The sequence below is a fragment of the Homo sapiens genome, chromosome 12, assembly GCF_000001405.40.
Source record: "Homo sapiens chromosome 12, GRCh38.p14 Primary Assembly".
NCBI classification, from domain to species: Eukaryota; Metazoa; Chordata; class Mammalia; order Primates; family Hominidae; genus Homo; species Homo sapiens.
In genome coordinates this window covers 714,021-728,826 of record NC_000012.12, presented here as the reverse complement: position 1 = coordinate 728,826, position 14,806 = coordinate 714,021, and the positions used below count along the sequence as shown (strand labels likewise).

Sequence of the window (14,806 nt, the reverse complement as noted above, 5' to 3'; positions counted from 1 at the left end):
TGTTCTATATTTGTACTGTTCAAGATGGTAACTATTAGCCACATGTGGCTATTGAGCACATAAAATGTGGCTAGTAGACTGAGGAACTAAATTTTAAATTAAATTTTAATTAAGTTAAATTCAGATACTCATGAGTAGGGTTATTAGATTTAACAAATAAAGTACAGGATGCTCAGTTAATTATCAGTTACAAATAAGCAACACATAATTCTGTAGCTGAAGTACACTCCAAATATTGCATGGAATACACTTATACTATAAAATTATCCTTTTTTATCTGAAATTCAAATTTAACTGAGCATGCCATATTTTACCTAACAACCTTATACTTGTGACTAGAGGCTGTATATCGGGCGTTGCAGGTACAGAGTGTCCTGTTTTTTGCAAAGTTCTTCGAAATTACTCACAGACTCCTGCAGAATCTAAATCAAGGAGGAAAAGAAATCATTATGATCATATTTGGACAAAAAAATTAAAAGCTGCCTGACTTCTGAAAGAAGGCCATTAGATACCACAGCCAGGACTACTAAACCAATAAAATTCAATTCAAAATTTTTTATTGGATGCCTTCTATGTGTAGAACAAATATTCAGCTCTATACACCAATATTGTCATGAAAATTGCTTAAGACCTCTGTCAGTTTGAATTGGTCGGTGTCTGTGCTGTACTGAGTGTCAACTATTATGAATATCAACCTTCACTAGGAGGAAAATGGGATAGGTCTTGAGATCTTTCCAGGAACTCACAACAGGTGGAGAACCAGCTCCAGACACCAGCTCCAAAAACAAACAAACAAACATTAGCAAGCAATGGATTTCTGAAAAACAAAAATAAAACAAAAAGTTATTTAATATAAGACAGATTCTAAGTGATATATGCAAGAAAAATGCTTTGGGAATATAAGGGGTCAGCCATAGAGGGGAACCACTGGATGGGTGATATTGCTTGTCTATTTCTTTTTTTTTTTCCCCAAGACCTAACAAGCTCTGATCTTTTCTTCCAAGGGCTTCCAAGGGTTTGACAAGTAAGGGTATTTTGTTGTTGTTGTCACCCAGTCTAGAGTGCAGTGGCATGATCACAGCTCACTGTAGCCTTGACCTCCCGGGCTCCAGCAATCCTTATTTGTGAGGCTGAGGTGGTAGGCTTCTTTAAGCCTAGGAATTCAAGGTTAAAGTGCCGCTGCACTCTAGCCTGTGTGACAGAGACAGACCTTGTCTCTAAAAATAAAAAATAAGCCAACAAACCAGCATTTCTCACAGATTTTGAGTTTTAAATATGACTCAGAGTTGCACAGCAGGCTATGGTGGATACTCGGATCCTCGCACTGGTAGCTGTTGGTGCCTCATAGCTGAGTCCATCTCTTGGAATGGCTCTCAGCAAGGGCCTTGCACAAGGCTACACCCCTTCCCTGAGGTCAGGCACCATCAAATGAATGGTCACTAATGGATACAAAGGCCCACACGTTGCCTCATCGGAGGTAACTTAGCACTTTTGTCACTCCGTGCCCCATAAGCCCAGCTGAAGCCTCTATAGCAATGATACTATAGTTCAGCTTCTCCCTCTGTCCAGTTCTGCTTCCCTGACTCCCAAGAGTTGTCACTCTGTACTCCCCATGAACAACAAACCAGTGAGCCCTGCATGCACATCTCTGTCTAGGAGTCTGTTTCTGGGGAGCTTTACCTAAGACATAGGTTATTGAAATATCTTTTAAGTAACCTTCCAGATTCTTAGGACAAACTTCTAGCTTTACTGAGATTGGCTTTTTCTACTGCTTGGGAAAAATGAGACCTGAACTGCCTTTTTCCAGACAGATGTGCAAACTTCACAGAGTCAAGAGACTTAGTGGTTTCTGGAATGAGGGAGGAATTTTCTGGGGCTGGTTACATTAAGTGGGATGACTAGACTGGCAGGTGCCCACAATTAATCTTCCCATTCCTCAGTAAAATGCAGACAACTCAGTGAGATCTGTAGATCTTTGAATGCCCTTAAACCAATCCAATTCTGGACAACAAAATAGTCACTCATCACAGTAAAAGAATCCCAAGGATGAATTTCACCCTCTGCTAGGAATAAATACTTCCTTTTTCTTCCATTAGGCCTCTCACTGATCCCTCTCCTGCCTATAACTTTTCCTGCAAGACTAGAAGCTGCTCTTTGGAACCTTGGGAGTGGACCTTGACACCTCTGATTCACAATCACGTAACCTTGTGGAATCTGACTAACATCTCTCGTGTTGCCAGCTGTCATCTTTCATCTCTCCTCTTGGCTTTGTGCCTTCTTTCAGCTTAGCTGCAAAGCAGGGATGAGGCTAGAGGGGAGGGTAGTGTTAACGTGTGAAGTTCTTTCTATGTACCAAGCACTGTTCTGGGCAATTCACATTATCTCATTAAACCTCACAATAACCCTACAAGGTAGATATGGCTGCCCTCTCCCTCTGACACACACAACAAACACCACAGTTCAAAGAGTTATGTAATTCAGTTCTTTGAGATGTGTAACGTCTCCTTTTTAGGAAGTTATCAGACTCGGCTAGGTCTGCATGGCACTGTGAAGCAGTGTCTTGGGTTAACTCTAACGTTCCTAATGTTAGTCTTGGAAGAACTCAGTTTGATAGTGGTTTGGATATGAAAGGATCTAACCCTGATTTTATTCCTAAGTCCTTTAGAGCCTTAGCCGTCCTAAGGTGTAGGTCAGAAGAGGTATCTGAAACTGCGATGGTCTAACAGCTGCCCAACATCCTTGGATCATGAATGAACTGATTAATGAATTCACGTAACAGGTGTCCACTGCACCTTTACTGCTGACAATGTGCAGAAAGCGTTATTCAGGGGTGCTATGGCCCAGTGGTTAAGAGCAGAGACTCTCAAGTCAGGCTACTTGAATTCAAATCCAGGCTGTACCACTCAGTAGCTGTGTCACATTATACCAGATATTATATTAATCTTTCGGGACTTCAGGTTTATCACTTGTAAAATGAAGGTGAAAATACTTCATGGGAAGTAGTTGTGAGGCCTAAGCAGGATTGTCCGTGTAAAGGGCTTGGCACACAAGTAACTGCTTGAACCATGGTAGCTGTTGTCTTATTATAGGACAAAGCAAGCCATGGAAGAATGGATCCAAATTTTAGGAAACACAGAGTTTAGGAGGGGAGATGAAATGTGTGCATAAATAACTATAACACAAATTTAGAAAGTGATGGATGATGTGGAGGTAAAAAGCATATAATAAAACTTAGAGGAAGAAAAGATTACTTCTAGGTAAGGAGATCAGGGGAGGTTTCTTGGTTGAAATAATATTCAAGCTGATAGATGATAAACACAATCAGTTTTAAACCTGTGAGTGGAAACCCTGTTGTAAACCAGCAAACACTAACTGAAGTCAAAAATAATACCAAATGACAGGCTGCTGGTGCAGAGTCCTGGAATACAGCATTGCACATCTTGGTGCCTGTGGGGCAAAATGAATACAGGGTGAAACCTGTCCAACCCACAGATCTGCTTTCCAGTCAGTTCCACAAGGGTCATTCTGACCCAGGCAAGACTTGTCTGGTGACCTCCATCAGGACTAGCTCTGGAGAAGACTCCAAATCAATGACTGACAGCAAGCGTTCATTAAGTGGATGCCATGAGCCCAACACCGCAGGTATGGGAAAGGATACCACATACACACACAAGTGACTCCCTCTGTCAGGGAACTTATATAGTCTTGTTAGGAAGACAAGATTAATATACTACATGATTTTTATGGCATTTGTTGTTCTTTTTCCTGTTCATAAAAGCAATACGAGTTCACTGTAGAAAATTCAGAAAATACAATTACATATTATAAAAGCAAATTTATCCCAAATCCCACTATCCAAGATTAACCATAAAATTCCATAAAATTAACCATAAAATTAACCATAAAAATTCAAATTATGAATTTGTACAGCCTTGTCTCCCGAGACAGGCATCTTATCCCCACCCTCACCTAACACTTGCTCATAGGAGAGATTCTTGTGCAAGTGGATCATTCATTTTCTTGTTTCTTCTTTCCCCGCTGGATATGTCTGCCTGGGAATGCGATTTGGCTTCAAGTACAGAGAAGAGAGTTATTTGCACGCTATTTCAGGTTCTCAGTGTAGCCATCCATCAACAGGCATCTCTGGGAAGGCTCCTGGTTCTGCAGGTAGGCCTCTGGGCCTGGTGCTACCATATAAGGCAAGGAGAAAGGAAGTGACTCACATAGCCCTGCACAAAAAAACCTAAAGCACTGTTCCCGTTTGGGCAGGGGAAGGATCAACACATATTATGTTGCATATAGGGAAATGGTTTCCTTCCATAATACAGCTCCAAATTATACTGTATGTGAGAGAGAATAATCGGGCATGCCTGTGTGTGTGTGTGTAATTCTGGATGACTAAAATGAAATCTTCATTCTGTATACTCAGTGGCAGTGAGATCTTAAAAAGGACTCATAGGCCATTTTGGACTGATCTGCTGAAGGGAAGGCCCCCTGTGGTGGTGGTCTAGACCAGAGATCCCAAACCAGGAGCCCCAGACTGTGTTGGCTTGTACAGTGTGTTTAAAAATCAAATTAGTTTTCAACATGAAACCTTCAGGAGATATCGTATAAAAATTTGAAATTCCAGCTTTGAAAGGAAGAAAGAGAGAGAGAGAGGATGAATGAATCTGGCAATCTAAGGAAATTAGCTCTTTGAGGGTCATTATGTTTTCCCAATTTATTATTGTGTTTTAATTGATGGGGGGAGCTTTTTATTGTTGTTGCAGTTCGTTTTTGTTTTTATGAAGAAATTTTCCATTTTTATGCAGTTAAATTTATCAATCTTTTCTTTCACTGCTTCTGAACCTTGTCTCTTGCTTAGAAAGATTTAATCCCCATATTGGTTTGCTAGGGCTTCCATAATAAAGTAACCCAGGCTGAGTGGCTTAAACAACACAGAGATTTATTTCCTCACAGTTCTGGAGACTAAAAGTCCAAGATCAAGGTGTAGGCAGGGTTGGTTTCTTCTGAGACCTCTGTCCGGGACTTGCCAGGTACCTTCTGCACGTGTCTTCACACAGTCTTATCTCTCTGCTTGCCTGGGTCCTGATCTCTTAAGGACACCAGTCATACTGGATTAGGGCCCACCCTAACAACTTCATTTTAACTTAATTACCTTTTTGAAGACCCTATCTCTAAATACAGTCACATTCTGAGATACTGGGGGTTAGAGCTTCAAACATGAATTTTGGGGAATCCAATTCAGTTTATAACATCACCCAGAATTATTTTTTTATTTCTCCCATGTTTTATTTCAGTACTTTTATGGTTTTATTTTTAAATGTTAAATATATGATTCATCTGAACTTTGTTTGGTATAAGAAATGAGATAGGGATCCAATTTTATTTTTTTCTAGTTACTAAGGTAAATGATTCAACTCCATTTATTAGTAATCTTTTCCCTCAAATCTTAAAATTCTACCTTTGTCTTAATACTCCATTTCCAGGTATATTTGGGCTATTTCTACATACTGCTTTGTACCATTAATCTGTCTATGCCTGTGCCACTACCAAGCTTTTAATTATATACTTTTATATTTTCACCTTCTAGGGTAAATCTTCCTCTGTTATTCTCTGTTTCAGAATTTTCATCATGTTTTTGCACATTTACTTTTCCCAGTTTACTTTAGCATTGCCTAAAATATTCTGATAGCATTTTTACTGGAATAGGGTTAAAGACACAGATGAATTTAGGAAGACTTTACATTATGTTGTTGAAAGACTTACTTAGCATTGTATATCCTTTGTACTGCTGGAATTTTTAACCATGTACATGTACTATTTTTATGAAAAGGAAAAATTTAATTTCATTCTTAAAAAAATAAAAAATAAAAGAACACAGCAAAGGTAAACAATGATTAGCAGAGATAAATTTATCTAGAGGAGCCATTTTGGAGCTCCTTAAATTCTAAACCCCACAATTATAACTTCTCCTCTGTTTATGGATGCCTTACTTTCTCACGGTTAGAATAAAATAGATTCGGCAACTCATTTTGACAGTCTGCATGGTGTGCTAAGGAGAAATGTTAGTTCTCCCCTCTGCTGTGTCTCATTTCTGCCAATTCAAGAGATACACTCCTCTTTTAGAGGTTGTCTAGGCTGAGAGGCAGACTGAAAACCTGGCAGGTTTTCCCCAACATTCCCCGGCCAAGGCGGTCATTGTCTGGCTAAACCCAAAAGGGTCAGGTTTCTAGTGACAATGAAGCTGCCTCAGGTCTTCCTCCCATCTCACCAGCAGCCAGCTGCTTCTTTTCTCTCCTGAGCTCAAGTGTCTTCCCTGCCCCTCCTGCAAGCCTGAGGAGACAGCTGCAGCAAGCAACGCTGGCACCTTAGATGGTCTTCATGTCTGTAATGTGGTGACGAAGAGACCCTGGAGTTATACTTCTCCATGAGTCTTCCTATTTTCTTTCTTTCTTTCTTTCTTTCTTTCTTTCTTTCTTTCTTTCTTTCTTTCTTTCCTTCTTTCCTTCTTTCTTTCTTTTCTCTATTTCTCTCTTTCTCTTTCTCTTTATCTCCTTCTTTCCTTCTTTCTTTCTTTCTTTCCTTCTTTCCTTCTTTCTTTCTTTTCTCTATTTCTCTTTCTCTTTCTCTTTATCTCCTTCTTTCCTTCTTTCTTTCCTTCTTTCTTTCTTTCTTTCCTTCTTTCCTTCTTTCTTTCTTTCTTTCTTTTCTCTATTTCTTTCTCTTTATCTCCTTCTTTCCTTTCTTTCTTTCTCTCTCTCTCTCTCTTTCCTTCCTTCCTTTCTTTTTTTTTTTTTTTTTTTGAGGAATCTCGCTCTGTCACAGGCTGGAGTTCAGTGGTGCGATCTCAGCTCACTGCAACTTCCGCCTCCCGGGTTCAAGCCGTTCTCCTGCCTCAGCCTCCCCAGTAGGTGGGATTACAGGCATGTGCCACCATGCCCGGATAACTTTTGTTTTTATTTTTGTTTTCGTTTTTGTTTTGAGACAGAATTTCACTCTCGTTGCCCAGACAGGAGTGCAATGGCACAATCTCGGTTCACTGCAACCTCTGCCTCCCGGGTTCAAGCAATTCTCCTGCCTCAGCCTCCCAAGTAGCTGGGATTACAGGCATCTGCCACCACGACCGGCTGATCTTGTACTTTTAGTAGAGACGGGGTTTCTCCATGTTGGCCAGGCTGGTCTTGAACTCCCGACCTCAGGTGATCCACCCGCCTTGGCTTCCCAAAGTGCTGGGATCACAGGTGTGAGCCACTGCGCCTGGCCCTCTATTTTCTTTCTTGTTTCCATGCTCTTCCATCCACTCCTCTGTTCGTTCACCCGTTCGTTCACATTTAGCACATAAGAGTGATCCTACTAAGATGTAAGCTAGAACCATGGCAGCCTCTGCTCGTAGCCCGGCACTGGCATCTCACCTTGCTCAGAGGAAAAACCAAAGGCAAAGGCATTACAATGGCCGACTTAGGCTTCACGTGATCTGTCCACCATTCTCACTACCTGTGACCTCATCTCCAGCTTCTTTCCCTGTCATTGACTCACTCCACCACACTGGCCTCCTTGCTGTCTCCTTCATGCCTGGAATGCTCTTACCTCAGATGGCCACATATTCTCACCTCCTTAAGTTCTTGATGCAAATATCACCACCTCAGTGGTTAGGAAGAGTGTATAAATAGAGAAGAGATAGGGGCTATGGCCCAGCCCAGTGGCTCAGGTCTGTAATCCCAGCACTTTGGGAGGCTGAGGCAGGCGGATCACCTGAGGTCAGGAGTTCAAGACCAGCCTGACCAACATGGTGAAACCCCATCTCTACTAAAAATACCAAAAAAAAAAAAATTAGCTGTATGCAGTGGCGCACACCTATAGTCCCAGCTACTTGGGAGGCTGAGGCTGGAGAATCGCTTCAACCTGGGAGGTGGAGGTTTCAGTGAGCAGAGATCGCCCCACTGCACTCCAGCCTGGGTGATAGAGCCGGACTCCATCTCAAAAAAAAAAAAGGGATCAGGGCTCTAGGTGATATGGTTTGGCTCTGTGTCCCCACCCAAATCTAATCTCAAATTGTAATCCCCACGTGTGGAGGAAGGGACCTGGTGGGAGGTGATTGGATCATCGGGACCGTTTCCCCAAGCTGTTTTGTGATAGTGTGTGAGTTCTCAGGAGATCTGATGGTTTTAGAAGAGGCAGTTTTCCCTGTGCTCTCTCTCTCTCTCTCTTTCCTGCCACCCTGTGAAGAGGTCTCTCCTTCCCCTTTGCCCTCCACCATGATTGTAAGTTTCCTGAGGCCTCCTCAGCCATGCAGAACTGTGAGTCAATTCAACCTCTTTTGTTTATAGATTACCCAGTCTCAGGCTGAAAACGGACTAATACACTAGGACTGAGTCCTGTATGGTTTAGTTACTTCATCTATCACACTATTAGAGTTTGTGTAGAACACAAGGGCCCTGCAAAAGAGAACAAAGGGAACAACCAGAGACCTAAAGAGTAAAACAAGGAGGTTGTGGGGTCATTGAAGCCGAGAAAGGAGCTTGAAGAAAAAGAGAGTTCCCAGCTATGGCGAATGTTGCTGAGAGGTCCAGTAGTAGAAATGAGTGGAGATTCATAGGTTCAAGCAACAAGCAAGCTATATATTGTTGAGAAACATGACAAAATCCATTTTTCAGCAAAGGGATGGGAACAGAAGCAAGGTAGCGTAACCGAGTATTCACAGTTTTTTCTAAGAGATATTTTAATTATTTTTTTCTCTCTCTCTTCTTTTCTCACTTCCTTGGTTCTTCATTTCCTACTTGTCTTTTAGAAATGCAAATATGTGGCTCAGGCCTGTAATCCCAGCACTTTGGGAGGCCGAGGCGGGCGGATCACGAGGTCAGGAGATCGAGACCACGGTGAAACCCCGTCTCTACTAAAAATACAAAAAAAAAAAAAATTAGCCGGGCGTGGTGGCGGGCGCCTGTAGTCCCAGCTACTCAAGAGGCTGAGGCAGGAGAACGGCGTGAACCCGGGAGGCGGAACTTAAGAGTGAGCCGAGATGGCACCACTGCACTCCAGCCTGGGCGACAGCAAGACTCCGTCTCAAAAAAAAAAAAAAAAAAAAGAAATGCAAATGTAGCCTTTTACTTCCCCTTCACCAGACACTCCCTACAGGGCAAGTTCTTCTAACTGTGCTTCCAGACTGAACTCTCCTCGAGAGTTAACAGTCCATTTGCCGACCGAAGTATGCCCACAATGGAACTCTCACCCTCCAGGAGGCTGCTAGAGAGATAGCAGTCAAAAAGCACGCCCACTGCTCTCTCCCACTTGGAGAGTTTTCAGCCTAGTAAGATGCCAGCAGTCACCAGCTCGGCTGCCCAGTAGACAAGGCCCTGCCTTGCTTGCTCTCTCCCACTTGGAGAGTTTTCAGCCTAGTAAGATGCCAGCAGTCACCAGCTCGGCTGCCCAGTAGATAAGGCCCTGCCTTGCTTGCTCTCTCCCCTGACTTTTAAAAGTGCCTGCTTTCTGCTCCAAAAGAGAAGTGCACATTTAAAGGCAGGATGCCTGTGCCTCTTCCCCTAAGCCAGCTTTGGAAATAAATCACTTTCTTTCCACCAGACCTCACTCTCGTTAATTGAACTCCGCGAGCAGAGTGACTGACTCGCACTTCAGTCACGGCAGGAACAGGAGGAAGGGGAATGGAAGGCGAAGGAGTAGTGTGTGAAGACTTAACTCTCCCGAGAAGGTTGCCTCTGAAGAGATCAGAGACAAGGAAGGCTCCTGGAGAGAGACGAGAAGTCAAAGAGGACAAAAGCATGTAAATAGTGGTAGATGGAGTGAAGTTAAAGACACAGGAAAGGGAAGGGATAATCAAAGAAGCCAAGTCCTTGAGAAGGTGACAGGAGATGACATCAGGGACACAGGTGCAGGAAGAGAAAGATTTATCACAAAGTCAATGAAGCCAAAGACTTAGGGCTCCTCACTTGCATGGGCCTGTCAACACTTACATTTTATTTATAATTTTATATTCTTTTTCTTTCTTTCTTTTTTCTTTTTTTTGAGATGGTCGCCCAGGCTGGAGCACAGTGGCGCAATCTCGGCTCACTGCAAGCTCCGCCTCCCGGGTTCACACCATTCTCGTGCCTCAGCCTCCTGACTAGGTGGGACTACAGGTGCCGGCCACCACGCCTGGCTAATTTTTCGTATTTTTAGTAGAGACGGGGTTTCACTGTGTTAGCCAGGATGGTCTCGATCTCCTGACCTCGTGATCCAACCGCCTCGGCCTCCCAAAGAGTTGGGATTGGCATGAGCCACTGAGCCCAGCCATAATTTTATATTCTTTTTCTTAAAGAGGCCCCTCGAGTTATGTAGGTTTCAGGACCCCACAAAACATGGTTCTGTCGCTGTGTGGAGGGACTGACCTTTGATAGGAAGAGAGATGCCCCAGTGTTTCTTAAACTTGAGTGATGACAGTAAAGCAACCCCAAAAAGTCTAACCAATAGAGAAATAGAGGAACCCCAGGCATTGGTGTCCCTGTGTTTGAGAACCACTTGTCTGCTTGAGACATTTACACACCTGATTGGGAACCACGAGACCTGAGGTCTATGCCTGGCTTTACCTGTACCATGTAAAGGGCTGGCTTCCTGGGCAAGCGACATATGCAGGGCCAGAGTTCCCATCTCCGCTGTCACTGTCTTCAAATTCCTCGTAGTAATTGAACAAGGGGTCCCACATTTTCCTTTTGTGAATGGAAATTCTGTAAATGGGCCCTGTAAATTCTGTAACTGTTCCTGGTCAAACATTATGATTTAGTCGTCTTATTTTGTGACCTTGGGCAAGATACTTGACTTAAAAAAAAAAAAATTGAGCTGGCCGGGTGCGGTGGCTCACGCCTGTAATCCCACCACTTTGGGAAGCCAGGGCGGGTGGATCTTCTGAGGTCAGGAGTTCGAGACCAGCCTGGCCAACATGGTGAAACCCTGTCTCTACTAAAGATACAAAAACTTAGCCAGGTGCAGTGGCACGCTCCTGTAATCCCAGCTACTTGGGAGGCTAAGGCAGGAGAATTGCTTGAATCCAGGAGGTGAAGGTTGCAGTGAGCCGAGATCACACCATTGCACTTCAGTCTGGGCAACAGGGTGAGACTCCGTCTCAAATAAAAAAAATTAGCCGGGCTTGGTAGTACACGCCTATAATCCCAGCTACTCAGGAGGCTGAGGCAGGAGAATCACTTGAACCTGGGAGGCGGAGGTTGCAGTGAGCCACTTCATTCCAGCCTGGGCGACAGAGTGAGACTCCGTCTCAAAAAAAAAAAATTGGTCTATGTCTGGGTGTGGTGGCTCACCCCTCTAATCCCAGCACTTTGCGGGGCCAAGTCAGGAGGATCACTTGAGCCCAGGAGTTTGAGACCAGTCTGAGCAACACAGTAAGACCCCCTCTCTACAAATAATTTAAAAGTTAGCCAGGCACGGTGGCACATGCTTGTGGTGCCAGCTACTTAGGAGACTGAGGTTGGGGGATGGCTTGAGCCTGGGAGGTTGAGGCTGCAGTGAGCTGTGATTACACCACCTCACTCTAGCCTGGGCAACAGAGCAAGACCCTATCTCAAAAAAAAAATTGATGCCAGGCACAGTGGCTCATGCCTGTAATCCCAGCACTTTGGGAGGCTGAGGCGGGAGGATCACAAGGTCAGGAGATCAAGGCCAGCCTGGCCAACATGGTGAAACCCCATCTCTACTAAAAATACAAAAATTAGCAGGGCGTGGTGGCACACGCCTGTAGTCCCAGCTACTCAGGAGGCTGAGGCAGGAGAATCACTTGAATGCAGGAGGCAGAGGTTGCAGTGAGCCGAGATGGCGCCACTGCAGTCCAACCTGGCGACAGAGAGAGACTCCATCTCAAAAAAAAAAAAAAAATTGCAATATCATTAACATACCATAAATACTTGAGTTATTTGTGCCTCAGTTTCCTCATCTTCAAGAAACCATAATAAATCTCCCCTCCCAGGTGGGTCGTGTGACAATGAATGCAAGTTGTCAGTGAAAGGCAATGGAAGTTCTGTGAGCTCCTGCTGTGAGCTGTTTTTTCCATGAGGCGAGTGCTCACTCACGTTGCATACCCCTGCTTATCATGCCTGGGCTTCTTGCAGCTGCTGATGAAGCTTTCTATTCTTAACCCACTCTGACATGCTTGTTTTCTTCCTTTTAACACCCAACAACTTTTGCCAAATGAGACTTAAGTACATTAATCACATCATACTCTTTCCCAAGCTGTCTCTGCTCACTAGAGTTTGAGTCTGTCGGTGATTCTCCTATATAGAAGGCATAGCTGATACAAATTCAAGACAGGAAAAGGCAAGGTAAGTGCTTTGGGTTCCCTTCTTTTAATGAGAATGCTAAGACCAGACCTCAGCAGAGTTGGCAAGAAGAGGAAAAAAAGAGAGGGAGAATTGCTTCTAACATTTGCAAGACCCAAGGCACAGACGAAGAAAGAAACTCTAGACTTGATATTTAAAATGTATACATTAAGCAAGCACATTGTTAACATTTTATATTCTTCTACCTTGACAAATATGTTGTCATAATGTTGACCAGGTTTAAATTTAGAAGTTTGGATCACCTTGCGGATCATGAGGTCAGGAGATCCAGACCATCCTGGATAACATGGTGGAACCCGTCTCTACTAAAAATACAAAAAATTAGCTGGGCGTGGTGGCGGGCGCCTGTAGTCCCAGCTACTCGGGAGGCTGAGGCAGGAGAATGGCATGAACCTGGGAGGCGGAGCTTGCAGTGAGCAGAGATTGCGCCACTGCACTCCAGCCTGGGCAACAGAACGAGATTCCATCTCCAAAAAAAAAAAAGTTTGGATCTCCTTAGAGTTCTTGCAGGAACACAGTTGTGTGAGGTGAGCCAGACTCCGGTCCTCTCCACTTCTTTTCCCATCCTTGGCTCAAAAAATTTTAGGCGATGATAGAGAAGTAGCCACAGAGGGCCAGAAGACATAGAGGATAAAGAACTTTCACACTTTTCCAGGCTCAATGGCTAAATGCCTGTAATCATAGCACTTTGGGAAGCTGAGGTGGAAGGATCACTTGAGTCCAGGAGTTCAAGACCAGCTTGGGCAACATAGTGAGACCACCCGCCTCAGTCTCTACAAAAAATAGTAAACAAAAAAATATCCAGGAAGGCTAGCATGTGCCTGTAGTCCTAGCTACCCAGGAGGCTGAGGTAGGAGGATCATTGTGTGAGCCCAGGAGGTTGAGGCTGCAGTGAACGGTGATTGCACCACCATACTCCCGCCTGGATGACAGACAGAGAACCTGTATTTAAAAAAAAAAAAAAAAAAAAAGGAAAAAAGGCCGGGCGCGTTGGCTCATGCCTGTAATCCCAGAACTTTGGGAGGCCGAGGCAGGTGGATCACCTGAGGTCAGGAGTTCGAGACCAGCCTGGCCAACATGGTAAAACCCCGTCTCTACTAAAAATACAAAACTTAGCTGGGCATGGTGGCGCATGCCTGTAATTCCAGCTACTGGGGGGGCTGAGGCAGGAGGATCACTTGAACCCGGGAGGTGGAGGTTGCAGTGAGCCGAGATCGTGCCACTGCACTCCAGCCTGGGCAACAGAGCAAGACTCCATCTCAAAAAAAAAAAAAAAAAAAGAGGCCAGGTGCAGTCGTTCATGCCTGTAATCCCAGCACTTTGGGAGGTCAAGGTGAGAGGTTCACTTGAGCCCAGGAGTTTGAGACCAGCTTGGGCATCATAGTGAGATCCCATTTCTATTAAATATTAGAAGAAAAGAACTTCCAAGTCTCATCCTTGAATTGAGCTGAGCTTGTGAAGGCATCCTAGTTTTTATTACTGGTTTTATTATGGTTCGGATGTTTGCCCTCTCCAAATCTTATATTGAAATGTGATTCCCAATGATGGGCGTGGGGCCTGGTGGGAGGTGATTGGATCATGGAAGTGGATCCTTCATTAATGACTTAGAACCATCCCCTTGGTGGTGAGTTCTCACCCCGTTACTTCACGAGAGATCTGGTTATTTAAAAGTCTAGGACTTCCCTGCTTTCTCTCTTGCTCTCACTCTGGCCATGTGACATGATGCCGGCACTATGCTTTGTGTACAACCTGCAGAACCGTGAGCCAGTTAAACCTCTTTTCTTTATAAAGTACCCAGTCTTGGGTATTTCTTTTTATTATTTTTTATTTATTTTATTTATAATTTTGAGACAGGGTCTCACTCTTGCTCAGGCGGGAGTGCAGAGGTGCCATAACAGCTCACTATAGCCTTGACCTCCCAGTTTCAAGTGATTCTCTCACCTCAGCCTCCCAACGTGCTGGGATTACAGGCGTGAACCACCGTGCCCAGCCTCAAGTATTTTTCTTTTTTTTTTTAGATAGAGTCTTGCTCTGTTGCCCAGGCTGGAGTGCAGTGGCGCGATCTTGGCTCACTGCAACCTCCACCTCCCGGGTTCAAGCAATTCTCCTGCCTCAGCCTCCCGAGTAGCTGGGATTACAGGCATGCGCCACCACACCTGGCTAATTTTTCTATTTTTAGTAGAGATGGGGTTTCACCATGTTGGCCAGGCTGGTCTCAAACTCCTGACCTTGTGATCCACCCACCTCAACCTCCCAGTGTTCTGGGATTACAGGTGTGAGCCACTACACCCAGCCTTAAAGTATTTCTTTATAGCAACACAAGAACAGACTAACACAATCATCATTGTAGGGATCCATTTCTTAGTATTGAAAAGACTAAGTGCTATGTAAGTACCATGAGCCCAGCAGGAATGCTGGGGTCAGCTGAAGAAAGAGCTCACGTGTGTGCCCTACACAATGCCCTG

The 14,806-nt window shown here is 44.2% G+C and overlaps 2 long non-coding RNA genes across 4 annotated transcripts in view, besides 3 other annotated features; one reads left to right on the top strand and one right to left on the bottom strand.

Moving 5' to 3' along the window:
* Nucleotides 1-540: 540 nt before the first annotated feature.
* LOC101929432 (uncharacterized) overlaps nt 541-14,806 on the bottom strand; it is a 38,521-nt gene continuing 24,255 nt past the window's right edge. The window contains exons 3-4 of one of the 3 annotated variants that reach the window (XR_007063153.1): nt 3,970-4,187; nt 541-817 (exon numbers count right to left, since the gene is read on the bottom strand). This is a non-coding gene — a long non-coding RNA (uncharacterized LOC101929432). Of the gene's footprint in view, nt 818-3,684; nt 4,188-14,806 lie in introns of those variants that run through there. The other 2 variants (XR_007063152.1, XR_931541.3) reach the window with 2 other exon arrangements.
* Nucleotides 9,358-9,407: an enhancer, noted in NCBI's record as "active region_5787". NCBI's record gives its function as "activates an Ori minimal core promoter by ATAC-STARR-seq in GM12878 lymphoblastoid cells {active_cell/tissue: GM12878}" and the evidence as "EXISTENCE:reporter gene assay evidence [ECO:0000049][PMID:35858748]".
* Nucleotides 11,913-12,332: a transcriptional cis regulatory region, noted in NCBI's record as "candidate enhancer chr12.51 targeted for multiplex CRISPR interference". NCBI's record gives its function as "positively regulates WNK1 gene expression with high confidence in K562 cells {active_cell/tissue: K562}" and the evidence as "EXISTENCE:mutant phenotype evidence [ECO:0000015][PMID:30612741]".
* Nucleotides 11,952-12,121: a silencer, noted in NCBI's record as "fragment chr12:825872-826041 (GRCh37/hg19 assembly coordinates)". NCBI's record gives its function as "represses an EF-1alpha promoter that drives an FKBP-Casp9 reporter gene in an ReSE screen in K562 erythroleukemia cells {active_cell/tissue: K562}" and the evidence as "EXISTENCE:reporter gene assay evidence [ECO:0000049][PMID:32094911]".
* Nucleotides 12,215-14,806, top strand: part of LINC02455 (long intergenic non-protein coding RNA 2455) — a 44,021-nt gene continuing 41,429 nt past the window's right edge. Inside the window, exon 1 of the long non-coding RNA NR_187480.1 lies at nt 12,215-12,323. This is a non-coding gene — a long non-coding RNA (long intergenic non-protein coding RNA 2455). The remainder of the gene's footprint in view (nt 12,324-14,806) is intronic.